The sequence below is a fragment of the Homo sapiens genome, chromosome 5 (assembly GCF_000001405.40).
Source record: "Homo sapiens chromosome 5, GRCh38.p14 Primary Assembly".
Taxonomy (NCBI): Eukaryota; Metazoa; Chordata; class Mammalia; order Primates; family Hominidae; genus Homo; species Homo sapiens.
Window position 1 is genome coordinate 149,835,753 of NC_000005.10, and position 26,408 is coordinate 149,862,160.

Below are 26,408 nucleotides of genomic sequence, written 5' to 3' on the forward strand. Positions count from 1 at the left end.
TCCAGCTGCCATTAGTAGGTCACAGAAGGGATGGCAAATGGATTTCATCACATGCCAACTCCAAAGAATTGGAGGATTCCCAGCCTACCTCCAGGCTCAGCCAGCAGTGCAGTGATCAGTTAGTGATGTCTGCCATCCACTGGGTTGGGGGAGTAAAGGCACTTGGCCATTTTATTGCCATCCCAAACTAGGGTCTTTTTTTTTTCTTTTTTTTTTTTTTTTTGAGACATAGTCTTACTATGTTGTCCAGGCTGGAGTGCAGTGGCACGATCTTGGCTCACTGCACCAACAAGCCTGTTTAATTTTTTTGTATTTTAGTAGAGACATGATTTCACCGTGTTGGCCAGGCTGGTCTCGAGCTCCTGGCCTCAAGTAATCCACCCACCTCACCCTCCCAAAATGTTGGGATTATAGGTGTGAGCTACCAGGCTTGGCCCCAAACTTAGGGTCTTAGTGTCCCTTGGAGAAGTGATCTGTCTTTATCTTACCTTTCTCCTCTTCCTCGGGCAGGACTCACCCCACCCACCACACCACCGTACAAGCCCACAGAGGAGGATCCCTTCAAACCAGACATCAAGCATAGTCTAGGCAAAGAAATAGCTCTCAGCCTCCCCTCCCCTGAGGGCCTCTCACTCAAGGCCACCCCAGGGGCTGCCCACAAGCTGCCAAAGAAGCACCCAGAGCGAAGTGAGCTCCTGTCCCACCTGCGACATGCCACAGCCCAGCCAGCCTCCCAGGCTGGCCAGAAGCGTCCCTTCTCCTGTTCCTTTGGAGACCATGACTACTGCCAGGTGCTCCGACCAGAAGGCGTCCTGCAAAGGAAGGTGCTGAGGTCCTGGGAGCCGTCTGGGGTTCACCTTGAGGACTGGCCCCAGCAGGGTGCCCCTTGGGCTGAGGCACAGGCCCCTGGCAGGGAGGAAGACAGAAGCTGTGATGCTGGCGCCCCACCCAAGGACAGCACGCTGCTGAGAGACCATGAGATCCGTGCCAGCCTCACCAAACACTTTGGGCTGCTGGAGACCGCCCTGGAGGAGGAAGACCTGGCCTCCTGCAAGAGCCCTGAGTATGACACTGTCTTTGAAGACAGCAGCAGCAGCAGCGGCGAGAGCAGCTTCCTCCCAGAGGAGGAAGAGGAAGAAGGGGAGGAGGAGGAGGAGGACGATGAAGAAGAGGACTCAGGGGTCAGCCCCACTTGCTCTGACCACTGCCCCTACCAGAGCCCACCAAGCAAGGCCAACCGGCAGCTCTGTTCCCGCAGCCGCTCAAGCTCTGGCTCTTCACCCTGCCACTCCTGGTCACCAGCCACTCGAAGGAACTTCAGGTATGAACAGGGGGCTGCAGGAGAGGCAGCGGGCAGTGGAGGATCCCAGTTCCCGGGGAGCCAGGAGCCCCAGGAGGGAGGATCCCTGGGAAGCTTGCTCTGAAACTGAGGCTGCATCTCCCAGTGTGGCCCATGTCTTGGTCAGGAGCCTTGAAGGTGGTCTTCTGGGGCAGTTGTGGGTGAGTTCTGGAGGCAGGCACAGCCTGGTCTGTGAAATCGAGAGTGTCCCAAACATCCTGGCCTCCAGAAAGAAAGAAAACCCACTCCTGGCTATTTGTGGGCTTACGTCTATAAAGGAACTTGTCCCTTATCCATTTGTACTTTTTGCTTTTATGTTTGTAAAATGGATAAGTTTTTGTGCAAACATACCTGCCCCAACAGTTTGAATTCTAGGGATGTTTATAAGTAAAAGAAAGATTAGTGTAATTCTAATCTGTGCTCTGGAAAATACCTGGACATAAAGCATTGATAAGGTTTCTGGGTCATGCTGAGTTGTGCTGTGGCTTTCACCAGTTGGCTGCCCCTCGAAGGGCTTTGACCTCAGTGGAGGGATGATGCCTCATGAGCCCGCTTGCTCGTATCATCCTCGCTCGCTGAACCAGACTGGAGAAGAAGCCAGTCCAAAAGTCAGCTGGGGAGCTGGGCAGAAAAAATGGAGGTTTGGCAGATTCAGAGGGTACTGGTTGCTCCTCTCTGATCACAGTGGGTCCTGATTCTCCCTGGGGAAGGCTTGAGGACAGTCAGTGTCATCATCCCCAGCCCTGTGTTGAGGTGAAGCTGAGTGGCCACTAGATGCTGCTCTTGGGCTAGAGCCCAGCTGCCGAATCCGCTGCAGGATTTGTTGCGCCTCCACTGGCCGGCCCACACCCGGGTGTCTGATCTGTAGGTCTGGGGTGGGGCAGGGGCAGGGGCAGGGGCAGGGATTGGCGTTTCCAACAAGTCCCCAGGTGATGATGATGACATTGCTAGAGTATCATACTCTGAGACCAGAATTTAGGTCTTGCGAAGATACCTCTTCTTCCCTTCTAAAGGGACTAGCAAAAAAAAATTTTTTTTTGTTAAATAAAATGTAAAAAGACTTCAGCTTTATGTTTATACATCTACAACAAGTGTTCTTAACTGTTTGAAAACCTGATTAAAGCAAAGGCCCATCTCCATATTAAAATGTGCATACACATCTAACTGGGCATTCAATTTTAGGGGGTTTGTGGGCTCCCCGCAAACTTGTTAAGAAGCCCTAAATTTTTTGTTCCTCAAAGTGAGGTCCGCAGCAATTTCTCCAGCAAGCCCTTACTGTAGAAGCTAGGATTCGTCAGTCACAGCTGCGTTCTGCCGACTTCGCTGAGCCTCTCTTTCTGGCTCCATTCTTTCCCGGGGGTAGCTTCTGCCCTACAGTGGTCCAATGTCAAAGGTTTGGCTTCAGCCTTGCTTTGCTGTGAGCTAAAGCACTCCATCTCCACATTAGGCAGTTGCCCAGGTTCTCTTCATGTTGAAATACATCCCCCAAGCTGGAGCTTCCCTGGTCTCCTTTCTCTCCTGCCCAGCTCAGAGGTGTTTGGGCTGGGCCTGCATTCATAGAATTGCCTGGGAAGAGTCGAGAACTTCTCTAGAAACCCCCATGGATTTTCCTTTTTCTCTTCTCACTTTTGGGCCAGGTTCAGGGCTGGCTTTTTCTGCTCACTACAGAAACTTAATTGGGTAACCTGGCTCCTGCTCAGCTACCTGGCTGAGCTCAGTACCTGGTAAACCTGGTAAGATACTAATCAGCCTTCTCCAGACCTGTACCAAACACTCAGCAACAGAAAGCACGTTAAGCTGGGTTAACAACACAAATCTTGAACTCCACGATACCTTCCAGGCACTCTCAGCTCTTCAGGTGGGGAAATTCTACCAATTCTGTTGCAAAAGGGATGATAATACAATAATTAGGTAACCCTTTAAAGTTGCAAGTAATTTCCCCTCCCATTATCCTACTAGAGCTTCACAGGTGCACCTGGAGGTATCTGCTGCTTATCCCCATTTTATAGATGAGGAAGCTGAGGCTCAAAGAGATTACATAGAAAAATAGAGCAAATATTTACGGAGCAGTTCCTGGGCTAAGCATTGACATGCACTTTTAAATTTAATCCTCACAAATGGCCAAGGGATGGACACAATTGGTTATCCCTATTTTATAGATGAAGAACTGAAGTTGAGAGGGCTTCTGTAACTGGCCCAAGGTCACCCAACAGGGAGGCGGTGGGGCCAAGCTTCAAACTCAAGCTGTCTGACTCACAAGCCTGTGTTCTTGTCCTCTGTGCTGTATTTGTCAGTGACTCAGACTGGATGAGTGAGGGCAGCGTGCAAGCAGGCAAGGAAGGCTGCAGGTGGGTGGCACCTGGGAGCCTGCTCGGGCTATGGGACTAATGAGCCTGATAGCTAGCCTGGAAGCATGGAGCTGCAATGGCCAGGGGCTGCTGCTTGGCTGAGGCATGAACCCAAAGGGAACAGTGGTTCTGGAATCAGAAGGACCTGCTTCTAACTTCTCTGCTTTCTGGCTTTAAGCAAATCCCATCTCAAACCTGAGCCTCAGATTTTTCATCTGGAAAATGGAGAAACATAAAACCTCATGGGGTTTAAAAAAAAATCAGGTCAAATAAGATAATAAAGCAAAAGGGCTTTTCTACCCCTAATGGCATAGAGAGGCAAGGCTCAGAATGGGGTGGGATTATAATGAGCAACACAGTGGTTCCCGGTGATCCAGTCCGGAAGCTGGCAGTAGGCATGTGTCCAGATGTTCAGGCCCACACACAGCCCTGGGCCGTCGTTGCAGAAGGGGAAGCTAGGTTTCTGCGGGAGGCAGTTCCAGCTGTGTGCCCTCGTGAACAAATCCTAAGGAAGCATCCCTTGCGTCCTGGAGCAGATCCGCCCCCACCCCCATGGTATCTCCCGAGAGTGAGTGCCTCTGCTTTGCTTGTTCACTGACAGATGTGAGAGCAGAGGGCCGTGTTCAGACAGAACGCCAAGCATCCGGCACGCCAGGAAGCGGCGGGAAAAGGCCATTGTAAGTGATCTGGGGGCCCAGAGCCTGGAGTGAATGGGAACGGACAGGAAGTGTGTGGGGGCTTCATGGACCAAAGCCTTTTGAGGCTGGCTGGTGAGCCCCTCAGTCTTCGGCCTCTGCCTGGGGAAGAAGGGACTATGGCAACAGCAGACAATGATATTTCTCTCATTTGAAGAGCACGAGGGTCACTAAAGGGCATCAAAGGTGGCACCATGCAAAGTTCAACCAAGAGACTGGCCATGAGTGTGCTGTTGGTGGTGATTTAGGGCTCAGCGTCAGGGGCCTTGAGAGAGCCAAGTGGGCGGGCTGTGGTAGTGGGGAGCAGAGCCAGGCTGGCCAGGTTACAAGTCAGCCCTGCCACCACCTTCTATGTGACCGTGGGCAGGTCCCCCAGCTACCCCGAGCCTCACTTTTCCTCATTTGTACGTAAGGGAGTTGGGCCTGTGCTTCCCAAGGCTTTCCCCAACTTGATCAGTGCCGAGAGACCAAGAGAGCCTGTCCCTTCCTCCCCACCCACCTCCCTAATGCCTTCCCAGAGTTAGTCCACAGGCCCTGGCCTTCTGCCTTTGCCTGGTGACCCTACTGCAAAGCTCCCCACAGAGAAAACACATCAGGGGCCTGGAGTGGGGAGCTGGAGCTGGCCAGCTAGGCTATGTCACTAGAAAGGAAGGAGGAAAGTAGGATGGAAACACAAAAAGACAAACAGACTCCTGCTGAGTCTCTCCCATGTGATGTGGCACTTCAGGGAGGAGGGGCACACAGGAGGTATGCATACCCTAGAGGTGCACAGCTGTCTGCACACAGGTCCTTAAAACCGTGGACTGTGCATGGAGCATCTTCTTGGAGTCTGGGTCTGGTCATTCAGCAGTTACAGGCCTAGCACAGTTCTGGGCGTTGGAGGACAGCAATGAACAAGAGGGATGAGGCCCCCCTTCTGGCTGAACAGAAGGGAGAGAGAGATAATAGACTCATAAACAAAGGAATAAACAATGTAATTACAGATTGGGATAAGCACTGTGAAATTAGTAATGTGCAATTAGTAACAATCTAAAGTAAACAGGACTGTTGAGGAAGATGTGTTTATGGGGTGGCCAGGGAAGGGCACCTTCAGGGAGCTGGGCCCTGATTGATGAAAAGGAGCAACCAAGCGAAGACTCAGGGGGACAAGTGTTTGGAGCAGTGGCAGAAAGGAGCTTTATGAATTCAAGAAGCTGCAAGGAGAGTGGGAGGAGGGGATTTCTCTGTTGAGCTGAGCTTGGACATCGTATGTTGTGGGATGTACAGTTCCCCTGACTGTTGACGACGGAGTCCTGTTTGTGGACCCGCCACCTGGGTTTTCTTCCTTGGCATGTGTAGTCCGTGGGTGGGATGGCTGGAGCATCACTGGCTATAACCTGTTTCCAGAGCAAGCCTGTCCAGGACAAGAAACTGTGTGTTTTTCCTATGGGAACACAGATTTCCAGGAACAAGCCTGCAGCTTCTCTCGCAGGTCAGAGTGATTTGTCCAATAGCAGTGGCTTCAACCAGATCAAATCACAGATCTGAGAGGAGGGGAAGGGGAGTTCCAGTCTGGACTTTCTCCCACCCCTTCCCTCTGCTAGGCTGTTCTGGGCACCCACTGGCATAGCATGGAACTCTCCTGAAGGTGACGCCTTGGTGACAGTGTCTATACTGTGGCTTCAGCCACTTTGCCCAGGCAAAACCAATATCCCTGATGCCCCCACCCCATTACCCTTCCTTCCAGCCCACTCTCACACTCACAATCAACCTGCCTCCTGTGCTTGCCCTACCCCAGCACCTCCCCTGCTCAGACTTGAAAGGTTAAGTCCAAAAGCTACTGAATATGCAGGCATATCAATGGTGATAAATCCCTCCCCCTTCCTAGCCCCAGTCTTTGCTCATTTCCTTCATGTAAGCAGTGGCTTCCTTGGAGGCCTCTTCCCTTCCAACACCCTCCCCTAACAAGGGCAGGTCCTCTGGGGTAGAGATTGGCATTGTCCTCTCTCTGACTCCAGCCGGTATTGCTCACTCAGCCAGGCATCATGGACTAGGACAAGGACTCCACGGGAGCCCACTCCCAGAGGGGCCCCAGGAAGCCAGGCAATGACGGAGTCTCTCTCTGTCCTCCTTCTTGGGCAGGGGGAAGGCCGCGTGGTGTACATTCAAAATCTCTCCAGCGACATGAGCTCCCGAGAGCTGAAGAGGCGCTTTGAAGTGTTTGGTGAGATTGAGGAGTGCGAGGTGCTGACAAGAAATAGGAGGTGAGTTGAACCAAGCCATGGCAAATGAAGGGAGCAGAGAGGGGCACTGGTCCTGATCCAGAATTGGGTACCAGAAGATGCCCAAGATTTGTGAAATGAATCTGACAAAATCCATAGCCTAGATGTGGAAAGCCAGGCCCATGAGAAGGACCAGAAATGGTAATGCAGTCAGTAATAGCAGCAAACACGTGCTGATGGTTTACGAAGTGCCAGGCAGTTTCCTTTCATTCTTTTATCTAAACTTCCCAGCACGCCAGGGACATAAGCACTCCTGGTCTTTCAATTGCTCTCCTTTCTGCAGGAGTTCAGACAAGTTAGCTGGGCAGCTAGTTGGTGGCAGAGCCAGAACCGGAGCCCATGTGTCTGCTTCAGGGCCTTTGGCCTGGAGATAGTGCGGGGCAGCAGCCCCTGGCAGCTTGAAGACTTGCACTGGGACTCCACTCTACCTCAGCCCTGTGCTTCCTCTGCAGCACCCTCCCTTCCTCTGCAGCAGCAAGTCCCAGGCCTTGGTTGGGTATGGCGGCTCACACTTGTAATCCCAGCATTTGGGGAGGCCAAGGCAGGCAGATCACTTGAGGTCAAGAGTTCAAGACCAGCCTGGCCAACATGGTGAAACCCCGTCTCTACTGAAAATTTAAAAATTTGCTGGGTGTGGTGGTGCACTCCTGTATTCCCAGCTACTCAGGAGGCTGAGGCAGGAGAATCCCTTGAACCCAGGAGGCAGAGGTTGCAGTGAGCCGAGATGGCGCCACTGCACTCCAGCCTGGGTGATAGAGCAAAAAATAAGAAAAGGCCCCAGGCCTTTTGTTCTACTAGGCAGCCCTGGTTTTTCGTCACTTACCTGGAGAAGCAGTGTTTTACCTATCAGGGGATCTGCAAAAAGAACAGGTTTCATATGAATGCACAATTTAGATGTCAAAACTTTGTCAGTTTTGAAATCTTTCTAAATTATCTCCTATTATATCGGCAAACTAAGGCAAACTAAGTTATTCGGGTTTTTACATTCTAATACAATAATAATAATAGAAAGCTTCAGCAAGAAAAGAGTTTCTGGTGTAAGAGTTATTATATACTTCTTGCCCATTAGGATGGCCACTATCAAAAAACCAGAAAATAAATACTGGCAAGGATGTGGAGAAACTGGAACTCTTGTATAGTGTTGGTGGGAATTTTAAATGATGCAGCCGATGTGGAAAACAGTATGGCAGTTCATCAGAAAATTAAACCTAGAACCCCCATCTGATCCAGCCATTCCACTTACGGGTATATATTCAGAAGAATTGAAAACAGGATCTCCAAGAGGTATTTGTTCACCCAAGCTCATAACGACATTATTTACAATAGCCAAGAGGTGAAACAATCCAAATGTCCCCCAACAGATGAACAGATAAACAAAATATGGTTTCTATACATAGAGTGGAATATTATGAAGCCTTAAAAAGGAAGGAAATTCTGACTCACGTCACCACATGGATGAACCTGACAACATTGTGCTGAGTAAAATAAGCCAGGCACAGAAAGACAAATACTGTATGATTTCACTTATATGCTATGTCTAAAGTAGTCTATTTCGTCGAAACAGAAAGAGTGATGGTTGCCAGGGGCTGCAGAGAGGAGGAATAAGGGAGGTGTTGTTTAATGGGCGTAGAGTTTCAGTTTGGCAAGGTGAAAGATTTCTGGAGCTTCGTTGCACAGCAATATGAGTATACTTAATACTGCCAAACTGTATGCTTAAAAATGGCAAAGATGGTAAATGTCCTGTTAAGTGTTTTTGCCAATTTTTTTAAAAAAGAACCATTATACAAATAGAACCATTTTAAGTTCTGTGCAGTTTTCAAGCTATCAAATGAAGATAGCATGCAAAAATAAAGCAGGCAAATTAATCTCTAAAGAGAAAGATCAGTCTGTTAAGATTTTAAAAAAACACACAGGATCTTTAAAAAAGAGTCTTGGACGTACTACCAATATTAGACATTAAAGAGGAAGAAGGGTCCGGGCATGGTGGCTCACGCCTGTAATCCCAACACTTTGGGACAGATTACTTGAGGCTAGGAGTTTGAGACCAACCCGGCCAACATGGTGAAACCCCGTCTCTACTAAAAATACAAAAAATTACCCGGGCGTGGTGGCACATGCCTGTAATCTCAGCTACTCAGGAGGCTGAGGCATAAGAATCGCTTGAACCCGGAAGGCAGAGGCTACAGTGAGCTGGGATTGCGACCACTGCATTCCAGCCTGGGTGACAGAGCGAGACTCTGTCTCAAAAAACAAATAAATAGATAAAGAGGCAGAAGGGTTCAAACTTGGCCCTGGTTCAGAGAGGTGTCAGGAAACATGATTCACGTAAATGTTTATTAGGCACCCACTATTTGTAATCCTGTCCTAATAGTTGGTGAATGCCACTTTGTCTCTGCCTTGAGGAGTTTACATAGCAGATGATATGTCAGTCGGGACTCTTTCTGTTGTTCATGGAAGTGAAAAGTTGGAATAGAATTGACTTTTGGTCCTTCTCGGGCAGACTTTTCTCCTGGTTGCAGAGTGGCTGCCTGTAGCTTTAAGCTACCCCCCAGCAGCTTAGAGACCCCTGAGAAGGTAGGAGTCACTACATGACTCCAGCAAAGACCTGAGATGGATTCTTTGGGGTTCAGCCTTAAGTAAACAGGCTTATCCTTGAACAAACCATGGTGTCCAGGAAGGGCCATTGTCACGTGGCTTGCCCTGGCACCCTGAGCCTGGTTGACCACACATGCTGTTGTCAGAGGAAGGGGAGTGGAAGCTGAACAGGCAGGCATCATAGATGTCTACCATGAAGGGCAAGATGCGTGCAGAAGACCAGCCCTACTAGGGGAGGTGAAGGCCAAGATGGCAGCCAAGGAATTGGTGACTGAGGCTGGCTTTGAAGGAGGCAGAAAGTGGTACAGTAGTATAGGCAGGGGAATGGCATGGCAATGGCAAATCCAGGGAAATGGGAATGATAGGAGAAACATACAGCGGTGTTAAGAGCATCAGCTTTAATGTCAGAGGCCTGGGTTTGAATCCCTGCTCTGCCACTTGCTTTTGGGTAAATTACTGAACTCCGCAGAACCTCTTTCCTCATCTGCAAGGTGGAGATAACAACAGTACCCACCTCACAGGCTCATCTGAGGAGTGTCTGAGGCAAGATGTGATGGCCAACACCTGGCAGACATTCAACATATTAGCTGCTTTCATTATTACCACATTGCAGAAGTCAGCCCAGTGGTCATCATCATCTCTATCTAGGGGGCCACGTGATGTGGGTATCGAATCACTGTGGCAGTCGGTTCCTCATCTAGTAATGGGTGGTCTCACAGTGTCCACCCAGCCAGCCCAATAACATACTCTCCTTGCTCCCTCCCCGCAGAGGCGAGAAGTACGGCTTCATCACCTACCGGTGTTCTGAGCACGCGGCCCTCTCTTTGACAAAGGGCGCTGCCCTGAGGAAGCGCAACGAGCCCTCCTTCCAGCTGAGCTACGGAGGGCTCCGGCACTTCTGCTGGCCCAGATACACTGACTACGGTAAGCCCCTGAAACCCAGCCACAGTCTAGTAAGACTCAAAGCTTGGGAAGCAGTGCCTTCCTTGAACAAAACCCAGAGCTAAAGCGCCTTGTGGACATAGCTTCCATCCCCACACCCCAGTGTGCTGCTTGGTATAACTTTGCAGCCACTTTGCCTGAAGACTACCATCCTGTTTCTCTTCTGGCCTCTGGTCCACCTTATCCTGTCCTGTGACTGCTACCAAAGAGAATCCAGCCTCCCACGGCCTCTAGGAAGATTCAGTCATGTGCACAGCCAGCTGGCAGAACCGTGGCTACGGTCTCCTTGACTTCACAGGGCCAGCTGCTACCCTGTCCCCTTCAGGGGCATTCCGTGGTGACCCCAGACAAGGCAGCAGCCACCTGGGGACAAGATGATGAAGAAGGACAAAGAAGTACAATGTACGAAAGAATTACTTGGCCAGGCTCAGTGGCTCATGCCTGTAATCCCATCACCTTGGGAGGCTGAGGCAAGAGGATCACTTGAGCCCAGGAGTTCGAGACCAGCTTGGGCAACATAGTGAAATCCTGTCTCTACAAAAAATATAAAAATTAGCCAGGCATGGTGGCTTGCGCCTATAGTCCCAGCTACTCAGGAGGCAGAGGTGGGAGGATCACCTGAACCCAAGAGGTTGGAGCTGCAGTGAGCCATGATGGCACTACTGCATTCCAGCCTGGGCAACAGAGCAAGACCCTGTCTCAAAAGGAAAGAAAAAAAAAAAAACACTTACTGGAGAGAATCCAATGCAGCCTTGATGGTACAGGACTGAGTGTCAGTGACCCGGCTGGGTGCCAGGCCAGGCGGCCCTGCCCTTGGCTGCATGTCCATTTATGGGAATCAGTTTCCCAATCTATTAAAAAATTCTAGTGTTGGCTGGGTGCAGTTGCTCACGCCTGTAATCCCAGCACTTTGGGAGGCCGAGGCAGGAAGATCATGAGGTCAAGAGATCGAGACCATCGTGGCCAACATGGTGAAACCCCCTCTCTATTAAAAATACAAAAATTAGCTGGGCGTGGTGGCGCACACCTGTAGTCCCAGCAACTTGGGAGGCTGAGGCGGGAGAATCACTTGAACCCGAGAGGCAGAGGTTGCAGTGAGCTGAGATCACATCCCTGCACTCCAGCCTTGGTGACAGAGCGAGACTGCATCTCAAAAAAAAAAAAATTCTAGTGTTGTTAGCCCTCCCTTATGTGGCACTGCAGCAGGTTACTAATGGACGAGAAGCTGTTGGGGGAAGTAGAGTTGTAGGGTGTTGGAGCTAGAAAGGCTCTGGAGTGCTCTAGTTTGGGCCTCCAGGTCTCTAGATAGGACAGCCAAGGCCCTGAGACACTGATACCATGGCCAAGATGTCCCAGCAGGATGGCAGGCAGTGCCCACAGTCCAGCGCTCATCCCAGCTCCCCAAGGCCTTGGGCTGCAGCCACTCCACGGTGCCCACTCATAGTGGCAGATTCTTCAACCATCCGGTCTTTGTAAGTTGCTCACTGCCTTCCCCTCTTCCCTGCCTCTTCACCCCCATGCCCAGATTCCAATTCAGAAGAGGCCCTTCCTGCGTCAGGGAAAAGCAAGTATGAAGCCATGGATTTTGACAGCTTACTGAAAGAGGCCCAGCAGAGCCTGCATTGATAACAGCCTTAACCCTCGAGGAATACCTCAATACCTCAGACAAGGCCCTTCCAATATGTTTACGTTTTCAAAGAAATCAAGTATATGAGGAGAGCGAGCGAGCGTGAGAGAACACCCGTGAGAGAGACTTGAAACTGCTGTCCTTTAAAAAAAAAAAAAATCAATGTTTACATTGAACAAAGCTGCTTCTGTCTGTGAGTTTCCATGGTGTTGACGTTCCACTGCCACATTAGTGTCCTCGCTTCCAACGGGTTGTCCCGGGTGCACCTCGAAGTGCCGGGTCCGTCACCCATCGCCCCTTCCTTCCCGACTGACTTCCTCTCGTAGACTTGCAGCTGTGTTCACCATAACATTTCTTGTCTGTAGTGTGTGATGATGAAATTGTTACTTGTGAATAGAATCAGGACTATAAACTTCATTTTTAATTGAAAAAAAAAGTATATCCTTAAAATAATGTATTTATGGCTCAGATGTACTGTGCCTGGGATTATTGTATTGCTTCCTTGATTTTTTAACTATGCACTGTCATGAGGTGTTTGCCACTGAGCTGCCCTGCTCCCCTTGCCAGATTGCCCTGGAGGTGCTGGGTGGCCGCTAGGCTGGTCTGCAGGAAAGCGCGGCCTGCCGTTTCCGGGCCGTATCTGCCAAGCCCTGCCTTGTCTCTTACTGAGCAAGTTTGGCTCAAATTATAGGAGCCCCCATCTTGTGCCCAGCTCATGCTCCAAGTGTGTGTCTATCCATTTGTACTCAGACTCTTGAGTACCTTGTAAGGAAGGCGGGGCAAGCTGCATCATTCCTGTTTTCCAGGGGAGGCTGGCAGCTCCTCAAGAGGCGAAATGACTGTGGGAGGTCCGGTTACCAGTGAGGAGGCAGAGCGGTGACCCAGACCAGGCCTTCTGGTTCTTGGTCCCGTGCTTCCGTAGTAGCTGGGGTAAAGACACCGTTTCAGGGACTGGTAGAGGTGAGTTCGGCTAAATTGGGCACCGGGCTAGAAGCCTAAGGGCTCATTTTAGGGGTTACATTAGGTGTTGATTCACCAGCATCAGGTGAATTCAAGCCCTGGCATGTGTCTTGGATGCACCATCAGCTTTGATCCTGAGTGGTCCTGCGGTTTGTCTGTGCCTGTGGACACACTGTCAGAACTTCAGTGACACCCCTGGCAGCGGTACAGACAGGTGGTCTGGGAGCAGTCATCTTTTTTGGGCCAGCCACCAGCCCATCCTACTCCCTCAGGTAGTCCTTCGTCTTTACCTTGTCCTTGTCTGTAAAGTTGTTTTGGTGGCTGGGGCAGGGGAGCCAGGAGGAGGGAGTGAAGGTTGGGAATAGATAGGACAATCTCCTAGCTCTCCTCCAATTGAGAAAACACTCCAATTGGGCTTTGCTTTAAACTTTGTGTTCTTAAGTGATGTCAAAGCCATTTCCAGCTTAATGTTCTGTGGGTACCTTGGGGGCCATTCATGCAGGGAGCATGGCCAGGCAGGGTATGAGTACATTGTTTCTGATTTCTTTCATACATCAGGGTTCCTCGGGAAATTTTTGTATTTTTTTTTTAAGTCCTGCTGCTTTAAAAATTTGAAAGTGGCTCATTAAACTAAACAGGCTAATGTAATTTGTTGCTTATGCCAAGCCTAGACTGTTGAGAATTGACGTTTTTAAAGATTATCAAATACCTCAGTAGGTAAAATGAGCCCATGATCTTCCACTGAGTGGTGAGCATACTCCCAGCCCATGGACAAGGCCGGAAGAGACAGGCTTTAGTAGGGGTAGGGAATTTGAACTGTTGTGTGTCACAGCAGTTGACCTCTCTGGACTCCAATTTCCTTTCCTGTGAAATGAACTGATTAGACATGTTTCAACATTGTTAGCTTCTGCTGAGGCAGTGTCTAGCCCAAGATGGCAAATACATAGCTCATGTGCCACTACTCCCACCTCCTTGACCAATACAGACATAACTAATCAATCACACCACTCAGGTTCCCTGAGCCTGGATGTGCTATAAGAATCCTGAAATCAGTGCTCTGGTAAGTCATTACTAATTGATTAGAGTTCAATCTATTTGACATCTTGGGCTAATCTTTGGAAGGTTTCCAACAATCACACAAAACCATATGCTGGCTGGGTTTCATGCTGGCCTATCCCTGTCTGTGATGTTCCGTTCCATGAGAGAAAACTCCCCTAATGCTATTCCATGGCGTAACACTCCCAATACTATTTTGACGCCCACGTCCCCTTGCAGAGGGTGCAGGGGGCGGTAGACGAATGACAGACAGGAACATATTTGGGGAAGGCAGGGCTTAGGAAGATGGACCAAAAAGGGACTTCCCACAGCACAGACCTGATCATTCGGATTTCCTCTTTAGCTATTCACTGCCTAGCACATAGTAGGCACACAATAAATGATTATGGAATGGGATAAAATTTAGATCTTTCTGCTGCCTCCACTAAGTTAAGTCCTGATTTACATCAAGGAGAGAACTGAGATAGGAAAGAACACTAGATTCCAAGTCTGGAGAGTTGGGGGAGTCCAGATTCTACCAAGAATTTCCTTTGTAACTTTGGTAAGTCCCTTTTACTCCCTGGCACCCCGGTGTGCTGAAAGGAGTTGGTCCATATATGATCTCTTAGCCCCTCCTATTTGCTTCTTCCTTGATTGCTCTTGGTCAAAGGGTCAGCCTTGGGCTGGTGATACTTTAGAGTAAAGAAATGGAGAGTTTTAGCAAAGGACCAGTCTGTCCCTCCCTGCTTTGGGGTCAGCTAAAGCTGTCCTTTCATGTCAGATTAACCTAGGACACTTGTAGTTAGCTTAGACGTTGGCCCTTGAGCAGAGACCTGAGCGTGGCATTGGGACATGACATACCTAAAGTCAGGGCTAGGGGACGCTGCCTGCCAAGGGCATCGAGTAGTCTCTACTTGCTATCCCGTACATAAAATGCTACAAGTTCTAAAATTTACCGACCCTGCAGACAACCTCTATCCCGAAGGACTCATTCGGTGCTGTGTATTATTTAGGGCAACTCCAAGGTCTATTCAGAAAAACGAGTGAACCTTGGTCTCTTTCCCACCAAATTGAGGAGTAACCCAGAGGGAGCAGCTGCCATTGGCAACCATCTCGTTGTAGCTCTGTCCTAGTGTTTGCTCTTGATGATGTTTACATGTGATCGCCATAAAGCTTGCTGTAGACTGTGTCGATAGCCGCCCGCACAGGGCAGGTCGTACTGTCCGTTTCTGTGCCGTGCTGGTGTTTTCCAAAAATGTCTGATCCAACCACTAAGTGGAATTCTTCCATCTCCTTCCTCAGTCTGTACAAGGCTGAATCAGAATCCCCATTCTCGGGGGCTCTGGTTACCGAAGGAAAATGCATCAAAGAGTTAAAGAATATGAGTGGATGGAGTGCAGCTAAGGCCCCCACCCCCTGCTCCGTCACAACTTGCCCCCTCAACCAAAAAGCTGCTTTGAGTCAAAAAGCACCCATAAGATACCTGCATCTGCCTTGAAATCTTGCAGCATGGAGTGTCATATGTACTCAGGAGAGAGGCAGGGCTTTGCGGGCAGGAGAAGGAAGGGAGGAATGCTCTGAGCTGCAAAGACCCAGTACTCAAGTTCTGACGTGGGAGGAGATGCAGTGAGACGTCTCTTGTTGCCTAAAGCCTGTTCCTGTTGGTTTTCTTAGAGTGATTTCTCCTAGACATGTGCAGTAGGCCCACTGGGGCTGCTGTGCAGTGGTGAGTAAAAGGGCAGGGAAGGCATGGACAGCCTGGTCCTTCTGCATGGACAGCTCAGTCCATGGCCCATCCCAGGTATAGAGTTCAGTTAATCCCATTTGAGCCTGCAGCTTAAGAGATGGCTCATCCTAACTGTGAAGCAAAATCAGCCCCAGAGGATGTATTGATCTGACTCACTGATGTCAAAATTGCAGTATTTTTTTAGCATTTGAGATTTAGCAGCTGCCTTCAGTTTGGGGTTACCCACATCCCAGCATCAGATATGATTAAGGAAAGAAATTGGATGTACAACAGCAAAGAAAGTGAATGTCATGGTTTCCCTGGCCAAAGAAGAGGGACCCTGTCATCCTTACCAATGGGGAAGAAGAAAACTAGTGCATGTGCAATATGTCAAAGTTAGTCCCCTAGTCCCTGAGGGGTTTTTACACACAGATGGGCTCCAGGTCTGCTCGTCAAGTTTGGAGGTACCGGGTAAATGGAGGGGAGCTGCAGAGTTGGAAACCCACATGCATGGATGTGTCCTTGGCCCAGAACCACCATGGGATGGGGGAGGCCCTGAGCCGGCTACAAGACACCCAGGAAGTAGGCAAAGGCTGACTTTGCATTAAACAATAAAAGCACTTTGAGAAAACCCCAACACTTCAGCCTGGGTCCGTGTTTCTACACTGGAAAATACGAGTCTCCTTTGGCTGTGTGAAGTGATCTTCTAGAGACTGGGACAGGGAGTTTGGGAATGGGGCTGCTGTCAGGTAGGAGAGAGCAGAGATGCCTTTGGAGATGTCAGCAGCAGGAGAGCCAGTGCTGGGGCCAACCCTTTGCTGGCCTTTTGTTGGAAGCCCTTGAAACAGGGAGCCATGGGTTTAGATCTTGGTACCTACCTTTACAGAAAGATGAAAACAGCCCAGCTGAGTGAAATGAGTTTGTAGAGTAAGTCACTTAACTGTAAGCCATCTCAGAATCAGAAACCCTAATGTTTCTTACTTGCTATGTGACCTTGGGCCCCTGTTTCCTCATCTACCAAATGAGAATGTTGAATATGAGCATTAAAGTCCCTTTCACCTCTGAGAGGCTCAGATCCCCAACCAGGAGCATTGGGAATCCATCACTCCTCCTTGAAACTGATTCCATTCTCTGACTTGACCCAGCTCCTGTTCAGGGTGAGGGTTCTCTGCAAGAACCAACCAGCAGTAGGTTCAATCCCACTGTGTCCTGGCTGAGTTGCCTTATCCAAGAAGACCAGCTCCCCGGGACAGATCTAAGCCATAGTTTCTAGTGGGGACAGTAAGGAATTAAACCCCCAACTTGGCTAGGTAACGATGTCAAATCTCACATTAACCTTGTCTTTGTCCCCACTGGATAGCTGTTAATCCGAATGTTGTGACCATTTGGCTGTTTCTCTCTTGTTCTCAGACAATACTAGCAATACACTTTTTTTTTTTTTTTTTAAAGAAAAACAGCTTAGGAGCTTTTCACACATTTCTTTCAAATGATTGTAAAACATATGGGGCAACAGGAGGCATTGATCGCGCTGCATATGTTTAGGGCAGCTTTTGTTTTTTGTTTCTTTAATGGTATAGCAGCAGTGACTGAGCCTTCGTGATTCCTGGGGACAGCTTTTCAGATACTCTGTTTCATCAGTATGCTTTGCACATCCGGAAGGAGTACAAAAATCCAACTGCCCAAATTTGGGGCTTGGAAAATAGGTTTTATAGGTGGTCGGTCCCTGGGCTGTGCAACAACTCCTCAAAGAGGGGTTTATATAACTAGAACCCCCCTGGGCTGTATTTTTGGTCAAAGGAGTCTCCAAGGCGGCTTACAAAAGCTTCCTTTTTCACTTGACCACCCTTGCTCATTGGTTACTTGTGAAGGGAATTGGTCAGTTTCCACCTCAGCACTTTGCCTTATCAACATGCGGTCGCCATCTAGTGGCCAAAGGTTGTCTCCACCAGCTACCCAGATGGAAGGCAAATAAATCCTTTCGGCCACCCTGCTGTCCATCGTGAACTTTGGGAATGAAATATAATGGCCTGAACGAACTGCCTTTGTGTTCAGAGATCAGTGCAACACTAGGGTCAGAAGACTCCAGAAGCAGCCACTTAGTAGACTCTCACGCAGAACTGAGAAATGCACTAGCTGTCCTGTGGGCAGAAGAGACAGGAGTGGACCAGGAGAGGTCCAGGTGCCCGGGAAGGGTTTACTGTAACTGCAATACTGGCAGCCCAGCTGCTGACCTTGTTAAGTAAACCTTTGCTGGGTGGTCCGAATTCTGCCCTCAAGGCAAGATAAGAAGTTGGGTGTAAGGATTTTGTGGGGGGCCTGGCCATGATCTTTGATATGATCCCCGAATAGCCAAATAGTTTTTTTTGTTCAATTTTTTGTTTCTGTATTTTGTATTTTTAAAATCTTGTCAAATGTTTTTGTGTTAGGAATAAAAAGTCATAAACTATTCCCAACTTTGTTTCTTGAGGGATGTTCTGATTCCAATGGAAACAGGTGGGAAATCTCAAGGGGAGCGTGGACAAGGTGGTATGTGCAGCAGGGGAATAGACTGCTTGGATTTCCAAATGGTTTCTGGGGAAGATGACCATCCAGAAGTCCAGCTTAGTGCAGTCTGCTCTGGAATTCACACCCACCCCCTCGCCTCCTTGTGCCATGTTGTTAGCATTGGCTTGGAGCATCTGCTTCTTCCAGAGGCAGCTGCTAATGTTGAAACCAACACGAGCCCTCTCCCCAACCCCAGGTTTCTAAAGAAGGTGTCTGTAGCCAGCCTTAATCAACTGGGCAAGGTGGTCCCTATGGTCCTTTCCAGCATTTCCAAATCTTGGACTCAAATTATTTTCTCTTGGTGTGACCACACAGCCTAGAGAATTCTGAGCAATAGGAGCCAGGGCTTTCCCTGACTCTGCGACAGGGTCAAACCAAGGAATGGCTAAACCTGTGAGGTTTTGTCATCCCCGGGGGTACTACTGTAGGGGGCATTATTTATTAGGAAGCTTAACAAGGTAACTACGGCCTGAGTGCGTGAGTGTAAGGCTGTGTTTGTGGTGGGGGTGTGTGTGTGTGTATCTGTGCACACATACACACGTCTGTGCCTGTGTGTGTGTGTTTGTGTGTGTGTGTGTGTGTGGAATTACATTGATGCATTTATTGAGAAAGGTGCAAGAATTTCACCTACACAGAGGGACACATCTGCTTTGTTATTTATAATAGAAAGCTAAATTTTAATTTTTTAAAGGACACTGCTAATGATTGAGAATCAAGTTTTTAGTTTTGCTATTTTTTTTAATTGGTAGAGGATTTTTATATATTTTTTCCATTTTGTTGGGTTGTGTCCTTATTTATATAAATACTTTATCCGTAAGAGGCAAGGAGGAAACCTTCTTTGCTTTTACATATTGTGGTTGTCATCGTCCCTATTTTATTTCTGGTGTGATTTCTCTGTCTTACCTTCTAAATGAGAAAATGTTTTCTTGTATTTGTACATTGTCAGATTCTATAGTTTCCTAGATAATTTAACCAAATTGCTCTATGTATTATTATTCTGTGAGTATAAAGTTCTATTTTAATGTCTGTAAATACTTCAGAACTGGCTTCTTTTCTCAAACTCCCACTGTGGGGTTATTGTTTACATCACAGAAACTGTAGAATCTCTATGCTCATGTACTGTAAATAGTGAAGTGATCTGCTTATAAATAAACTTAACAAATACACTATGGAGATTAAAAACAAAATACCACCCACAGCTTTGCCCATGTGTGTTTTTCCTTGTTGGTCCTGGGAGCTCATTGAGGGACACTCTGACCACTAAATGGGGAAGAGATTTCAGTTTTCAGCGTCACCTTCTCAGATAAGACCCCGGATGATGTCTGCTCCTCACCTCACCACACTTCTCCCTCCTTCAGAGCACTTTTCACAGTTCATAATATCCATTCGTGCCAGGCACAGGGGCTGAGGTGGGGGATCACTTGAGCCCAGGAGTTCAAGGCCAGCCTGGGCAACATAGTGAGACCCCCATCTCTGAAAAAGTAAAGTAAATAAAATATAATAAATAAATAAAATAACCATTCAGACTCATCTCACATAACAGCTGTTCCATGAACGACTTTTTGCCCTGACTTTTATAAAGCTATACCACTTTCTGAACAAAGACTTCCTTGTTTTGGTATATCAACTTTCACATAAGCACATTGAATAAATGCACTGTAGGAGGTATTTTGGCATTGTGGTTCCAGGCAAAACACTCATCAATTTGTAATTACAAAATGGTTTCTGGTCAGAGGATCTCATAGAGAGCAGGCCTGCATTGTGTGCGGTAATTGAATGAGCTCAGAACATTTTCCTTTGTGTACTTCCAGCAAGTAGGGTGAGGAAGTGGCATCTTCCAAGACTCTCAGTTGCGTGCCTGTGTGTTATTTCCTCACGTCTCAAAGGGGTTAGCCTGTATTTTGCCCTAAAGCTGTTTTTTGTGCTTTAACTTTATTTTTAAATGCCAGACACCCATAAGCCCCAAAGGGTTGAAACACTGGCAAAGAGAATTATATATAAACAAGAACAGGCTGGGCGCGGTGGCTCGCATCTGTAATCCCAGCACTTTGGGAGGCTGAGGCGGGCGGATCACCTGAGGTTAGGAGTTCGAGACTAGCCTGGCCAACGTGGTGAAACCCCATCTCTACTAACAATACAAAAATTAGCCCGGCGTGGTGAGGGGCGCCTGTAATCCCAGCTACTCGGGAGGCTGAGGCAGGAGAATCGCTTGAACCCGGGAGGCGGAGGTTGCAGTGAGCCAAGGTCGTGGCAACAGAGCCTGGGCAACAGAGCAAGACTCCATCTCAAAATAAATAAATAAAATAAGAACAGGTGCAATGAATGATTACATTTTATGTTATGTGCAAACTATTTTCAGGTTGCTATTTATTACATAAACTCATACAAACTCATACATATATTCTCCTTGTTCAGGTGATTTATTTTCCCCATCTGTAAAGATTGTTTGGATTTCTTTGATTGCAAGGGAACACATCATGATTTTTTCCCATTAAAATTAATAGGAACGTTTCCACTTAGGGGCAGAGTTCTCTGGTGTGATGAGAATATGTGTGTGATTGAGGGCTCAGTACCTGTTGCCCATCTGTTGTAAGCTTCAGGAGAACAGGCCTGCCTTTCCGTTCACTGCAGGGCACTGGCCCCATCAGTCAGGAATTCCTGAGTAGATCCTACCCGTAGTGCAAGGAATAGGATGGCAGATGCAGAGCCTCAAGACCTGCCTTTGGGACCCATCTCTGCCACTTCTGTATTGTGTGAATTGGGCAGACCACCTCCTTGGTCCCTGGTTTTCCCAAATATGAAACAATTTGCTTAGCTGAACTCAAAGGTCCTTTATGTTCTTATGTTCTTTAAAAACAACAATAAAACCTGATTTGCAGAAGCAGTATGGTACAAGGAAAATGCTTACAAGCTGGGGTTCTGGGGTTCTGGTGTCAAGCTGCTTGGCTTTTTTTTTTTTTTTTTGTGATGGAGTCTCGCTCTTGTTGCCCAGCTGGAGTGCAATGGTGCAATCTCGGCTCACTGGAACCTCTGCCTCCTGGATTCAAATGATTCTCCTGCCTCAGCCTCCCAAGTAGCTGGGATTACAGGCACCCGCCACCACACCCAGCTAATTTTTGTATTTTTAGTAGAGACAGGGTTTCCACCATGTTCGCCAGACTGGTCTCAAACTCCTGACCTTAGTTGATCCATCCACCTCGGCCTCCCAAAGTGCTGGGATTACAGGCATTGAGCCACCACGCCTGGCCTAAGCTGCTTGGCTTTGAAACTTGGCTCTACCGCTTATCAGCTAGGTGTCCTCGGGCAGGTTTTCTAACCTCTCTAAGTCTGCTCCTCACCATGTGATAAATGGAGCTAGTAACAGTTTCTCCCTTGGAGTATTGTTGTTAGGATGAAATTAGATCGTGCACAGTACCTAGGACATGGTAAGTACTTAATCAGCATCAGCTGTGATCCTCATTCAGCTCAGTCTCATTTGGTGCTAACCATAGTCCTCTGAGAGAGGCACTGCAAGGATCTTGACCTTTTTTTGACAGATTGGGAAGGCTGGGAAGTGGAGCAGAAGGAACCTGCCGAAGGGACTCAGAAACATGGCAGCAGAGTCAGGACCAGCAACATCAATGCCCGTGTGTTCCTGAGTGACACTTATTTCTCCTTGCTACTCTGCCATGTAACCACCAAACGTGATGTTCTTAGGACAGGCCTCTGCTTAAAGACCACTGCTATCAGGGTGTGCATTGCAGCAGGGCAGAACATCTAGTTTGGGAGTTTAAAGATGCAAGTTCCAGACCCAGTTCTCTATTGACATCACCACCTGCAAACATGAGCAGGGCCCATGCGTCAGGAGCCCAGATTGATCTACTGTGGAGGCCACCAGGATGTGGCTGCCCTGTACACTATGTTCTCTGTGATCCTGGGCATCTCCTGGAGGGAAGCCAGGGAACTGTGCCAGGAACTTGGCCCAGCCCCGTCTTCTCACTGGCCTTCAATTTCCTCATGTGTCTAAAAAGAGAGATTACAGTAGATGAGTGGTTTACCGTTTGGGGAAACCATGTGGCTCCCTCTCCTCAAAGCAACTGTTTTAATATATTAGTTTCTGCATAACATTCAGTGTGGAAGGAAGAAAAGTTCTAGAGCTAATGTCCATTTATTAGAATGAGACAGAGGAATGTGTTACATGCGGCCACAAAGAAACAAACAGATAAATACAGAATGTGGGAAAACTGACTCTGTTTCTGCAAGGTGATGACAATGGAAAAAAGGAAGGAGTACTTTGTAGATTAAAAGAGACTTCAGAAACTTAACCATGGCTATGTGAGGTGATGGATATATTAATTAGCTTAATTATGGTAACCATTTCACAATGTATATCAAAACATCACAGTGTATACCTTAAATATGTATACTTTTTATTTGCTAATTATACCTCCATAAAGCTGGTGGTGGGGGGGGAACGATAGAGAAGGAAAAAAAATCAAGATTTGGACAAGTGTAACAAATTGACTTGCAAATTTTTAGCATGTTATTGCCATTTTCAACTTCTGGTTTATTTGTGCTGTTTTCAACATCAGTTACTATGGTATGAATGCTGATCAGGCCAGTGCATTCCGCTAGGTATTGCATACTTGCCAGAACATACTTAGATTCGGTTTAAAAGAAATAAGTCCTGGCCAGGTGCAGTGGCTCACGCCTGTAATCCCAACACTTTGGGAGGCTGAGGCAGGAGGATTGCTTGAAGTCAGGAGTTTGAGGCCAGCCTGGGCAACAGAATGAGACCCCATGTCTACAAAGATAGGTTTTAAAAAATTAGCTGGGCATGGTGGTGCATGCCTGTGGTCACCGCTGCTTGGTAAGCTGAGATGGAGGATTGCTTGAGCCCGGGCAGCTGGGGCTCCAGTGAGCTATGGTCATACCACTGCACTCCAGCCTGGGCGACAGAGTGAGACCTCGTCATGAAAGATAGAGAAAGAGAGAAATTCTATCTGCCACATCTTTTTTTTTTCTTTTTTTTTTTTTTGAGACGGAGTCTTGCTCTTGTTGCCCAGGCTGGAGTGCAGTGGCATGATCTCAGCTCACTGCAACCTTCGCCTCCCAGGTTCAAGCGATTCTCCTGCCTCAGCCTCCTGAGTAGCTGGGATTACAGGTGCACACCACCACACCCAGCTAATTTTTGTATTTTTAGTAGAGATGGGGTTTCACCATGTTGGCCAGGCTGGTCTTGAACTCCTGACCTCAGGTGATCCACCCACCTTGGCCTCCCAAAGTGCTGGAATTACAGGCGTGAGCCACCGCGCCCGGCCAACATCTATCTTTTTAAACCAACAGAATGCCTGCTAATTTAAGAAACAGAAGTTCTGGAATTGAGAATAATCTGACTTAATTTATACTCTGTGAAATCAATGAAAAATCCAAGAATAAAAAGTACATCTTCTTTTTTCTAAAAACCAACAAAAAGAAACAACTAAATTCAATATGTGAATTTGTTTGGATCAGATTCAGGCAAGCCAACCATTGAAAACGTTCATGAGAATGAAGGAAGGTTGATTAAGGGCTGGCATCACAAGTTGGGTGTCCCAGAAAGCAGACTCTAAAATGGACTTAGTCTGCAGGATGCTTATTAAGCAGTGCCCTGGGGACCGATGCTTGGGGAAGGGAAGGAAATAGGAGTGGGCAGAGGGAGAAGTCGAGTTGGGATGTGAGCCCAGCGACAGCCTTAGTGGACCCCACGAGGAGTCGTGGAGCTGGAACAGCCCTGCACAGTTATCCCATGCTCAGCCAAGATGGCCAGGCCTCTCCACCTGGCATGGATCAGTCATTGGGTGTAGGCCACCCTGGGGAAGGCTGCAGTAACACCTGATGGGGTTGATACTAAGGGTCTGTCAACAGCACTCAAAGCTGGTGGGGTCCCAAGTCCTTTGCTGAAGCTTGGGGTCTGTGCAGCCCATCAAAGCATAGATCACAGCTGGGTATTAGGCAGGCATTGGTTGCATGGGCCAGTGATGTGGTTATGTTAGAAAACATACTTATTTCTTTAAAGATGAGATAGTAGAGGTGTGAAATGATATGTTTGGGATTTGCCTTTTCTTTTGCTTTTGTTTGAGTCAGAGTCTCGCTCGGTCGCCCAAGCTGGAGTGCAGTAGCATGATCTCAGCTCACTGCAACTTCCGCCTCCTGGGTTCAAGAGATCCTCTCACCTCTGCCTCCCAGGTAGCTGAGACTACAGGTGAGTGCTAATTTTTGTATTTTTTGTAGAGACAGGGTTTTGCCATTTTGCTCAGGTTGGTCTCAGACTCCTGGGCTCATGCAGTCTGCCCACCTCAGCCTCCTGAAGTGCTGGGATTACAGGTGTGAGCCACCACGCCTGGCCAGGATTTGCCTTTAAACACTTCAGGTAAGAAAAAAAATTGAAAAGAAAATGTAAAAAGGACAGACGAAATGCATGTAGCAAAATCTTGATATTGGAATCTGGGTGATGGGTATGTGGGGATTCAACGTACAATTCTCTACTTTTGAAAATGATTGAAAATTTTTACAATACATTAACTGAAAGTATAAGAACAAAAATGATTCTAAGCAAGCCAGTGAATCTGGCATTAATTAAATGTAATTAAATGTTTAACTGATGTCTATGAAAGCTAGAATATTGGTTTTAGCTCAATAGGCAGTTCTCAAGACTAAAAGAATGTTTAAAAGCCACTGGATAAGGTATAAGCCAAGCTTGTTCAACCCACGGCCCGTGGGCCACATGCAGCCCAGGACGGCTTTGAATGCGGCCCAACACAAATTCATAAACTTTCTTAAAACATTATGAAATTTTTTTTTTTGGCGATTTTTTTTTTTAAGTTCAACAGCTATCATTAGTGTTACTGTATTTTATGTGTGACCCAAGACAATTCTTCCAATGTGGCCCAGGGAAGCCAAAAGATTGAACAGTCCTGGAAGCTAAATTCTCTAACAGCTTTCAAATCCTATGACTCTTCTACTTCTCAAGGTGTGTGGTCTTCCACTGGCTTGAGTCATCTCTTCCCAGGAAAGGGTGGTGCCGTCCAGCCAGCACATCCCCAGTGGTGTTACTGGATGCAGCAGGACTTGGATGTAGTTGCACCCCCTGGGCTGGGGTTTCCCCCCGGCTGATTTCCTGCGGCTGCTGCAATGAAACAGGAAAAAGAACACACCAGGTGACAAGAGGCTGCAGTGGGCTTCCCCTTTGACCTAATTTGGACCAAGAGTTGCAAACTCAAAGGCTTTCAGTGGCCAACAGATAACAACACATGCAGAAGGCAAACCAGGTGTGAGGAGAATCACGGAAACAGAACATTTCTCTAAGAAAAATAGCAGCACGAGGATGATGATAAGTGAGAACCAGTACTCGGCACCAATGTCTGGGAGACCAGGGGAGCTGTGAACATGACAAACTAGAGACAGCCTCTGTCTCATCTAAAGGGGGCAGTTGCCACTCGGCTTCAGCCAATTGTTGTCATGCAAAAATGATAGACTGGTGTGGCCAGATCTTACCTTTTTACTCTTTTAGAAAGAAAAGCTGGGCCAGGCACAGGGCTCACGCCTGTAATCCCAACACTTCAGGAGGCTGAGGCAGGAAAATCACTTGAGCCCAAGAGTTGGAGGCCAACCTGGGCAACATAGCAAGACCTGGTTTCTACAAAAAAATACAAAAATTGGCCAGGCATGGTTGCATACACCTGAAGTCCCAGCTGCTAGGGAAGCTGAGGTGGGAGGATCGCTTGAGGCCGGGAATTTGAGGCTGCAGTGAGCTATGATCGTGCCACTGCGCTCCAGCCTGGGCAACAAAGCAAGACTCTATCTCCAAAAAAGAAAGAAAAAGAGGCTGTAAATCTGGATTTTTTAAATCTTAAATATTCCAATTTTAAAATGTGGCCCAAAAATTCACATTTAAAAAAATGTTGGTACTGATTCTCTAGCTATAAGAAAAAAAAGAAGGAGAAAAAAATGTAAGCCAAATCTGTATTTTTTTATCTGAAGGCCACAAATTTGCACTGATTTACTACTTGCCCAAAAGACAATTTGTACAAATTAGAAAAATGCACTTATTTCCCAGGATACCTCACTGCCATTTTTCTGGAAAATCAAAATAGCTATACACATCTGTGATGTACAGGACACTCCCCGGAGTTGTGCAAAGCATAAACTACAAAACTCTAAGTGGCCCCTACATTTGCAGCTGCCCATTTAGAATCAACCCACGCTGCCCAGAGCAGAGCTGAGGCCCTGACATTTTCCATGTGTAAGAGCCATGGGTGAAGAGGGATGGGTGTGCAAAGGAGGGCAGTCAGGGTGAGGGAGGGACAAGATGCCAT

General features: G+C 47.8%; 2 protein-coding genes across 14 annotated transcripts in view; one reads left to right on the top strand and one right to left on the bottom strand.

The window, feature by feature from the left end:
• Positions 1 to 22,207, top strand: part of PPARGC1B (PPARG coactivator 1 beta) — a 127,650-nt gene extending 105,443 nt beyond the window's left edge. For 4 of the 8 annotated variants that reach the window (NM_133263.4, NM_001172698.2, NM_001172699.2 and 1 more), the window contains 5 exons: positions 511 to 1,321; positions 4,289 to 4,364; positions 6,504 to 6,625; positions 10,008 to 10,162; positions 11,706 to 19,270. In NM_133263.4, the coding sequence (NP_573570.3) occupies positions 511 to 1,321; positions 4,289 to 4,364; positions 6,504 to 6,625; positions 10,008 to 10,162; positions 11,706 to 11,806 (1,265 nt within the window). In that variant the 3' untranslated portion in view covers positions 11,807 to 19,270. Of the gene's footprint in view, positions 1 to 510; positions 1,322 to 4,288; positions 4,365 to 6,503; positions 6,626 to 10,007; positions 10,163 to 11,705; positions 19,271 to 21,608 lie in introns of those variants that run through there. The other 4 variants (XM_011537553.3, XM_011537555.3, XM_011537554.3 and 1 more) reach the window with 2 other exon arrangements.
• Positions 22,201 to 26,408, bottom strand: part of PDE6A (phosphodiesterase 6A) — an 86,841-nt gene continuing 82,633 nt past the window's right edge. For 4 of the 6 annotated variants that reach the window (XM_011537650.3, XM_011537651.2, XM_011537654.2 and 1 more), the window contains one exon: positions 23,076 to 25,219. In XM_011537650.3, coding sequence (XP_011535952.1) covers positions 25,143 to 25,219 — 77 coding nt within the window. In that variant the 3' untranslated portion in view covers positions 23,076 to 25,142. Of the gene's footprint in view, positions 25,220 to 26,408 lie in introns of all 6 variants that reach the window. The other 2 variants (NM_001410788.1, NM_000440.3) reach the window with 1 other exon arrangement.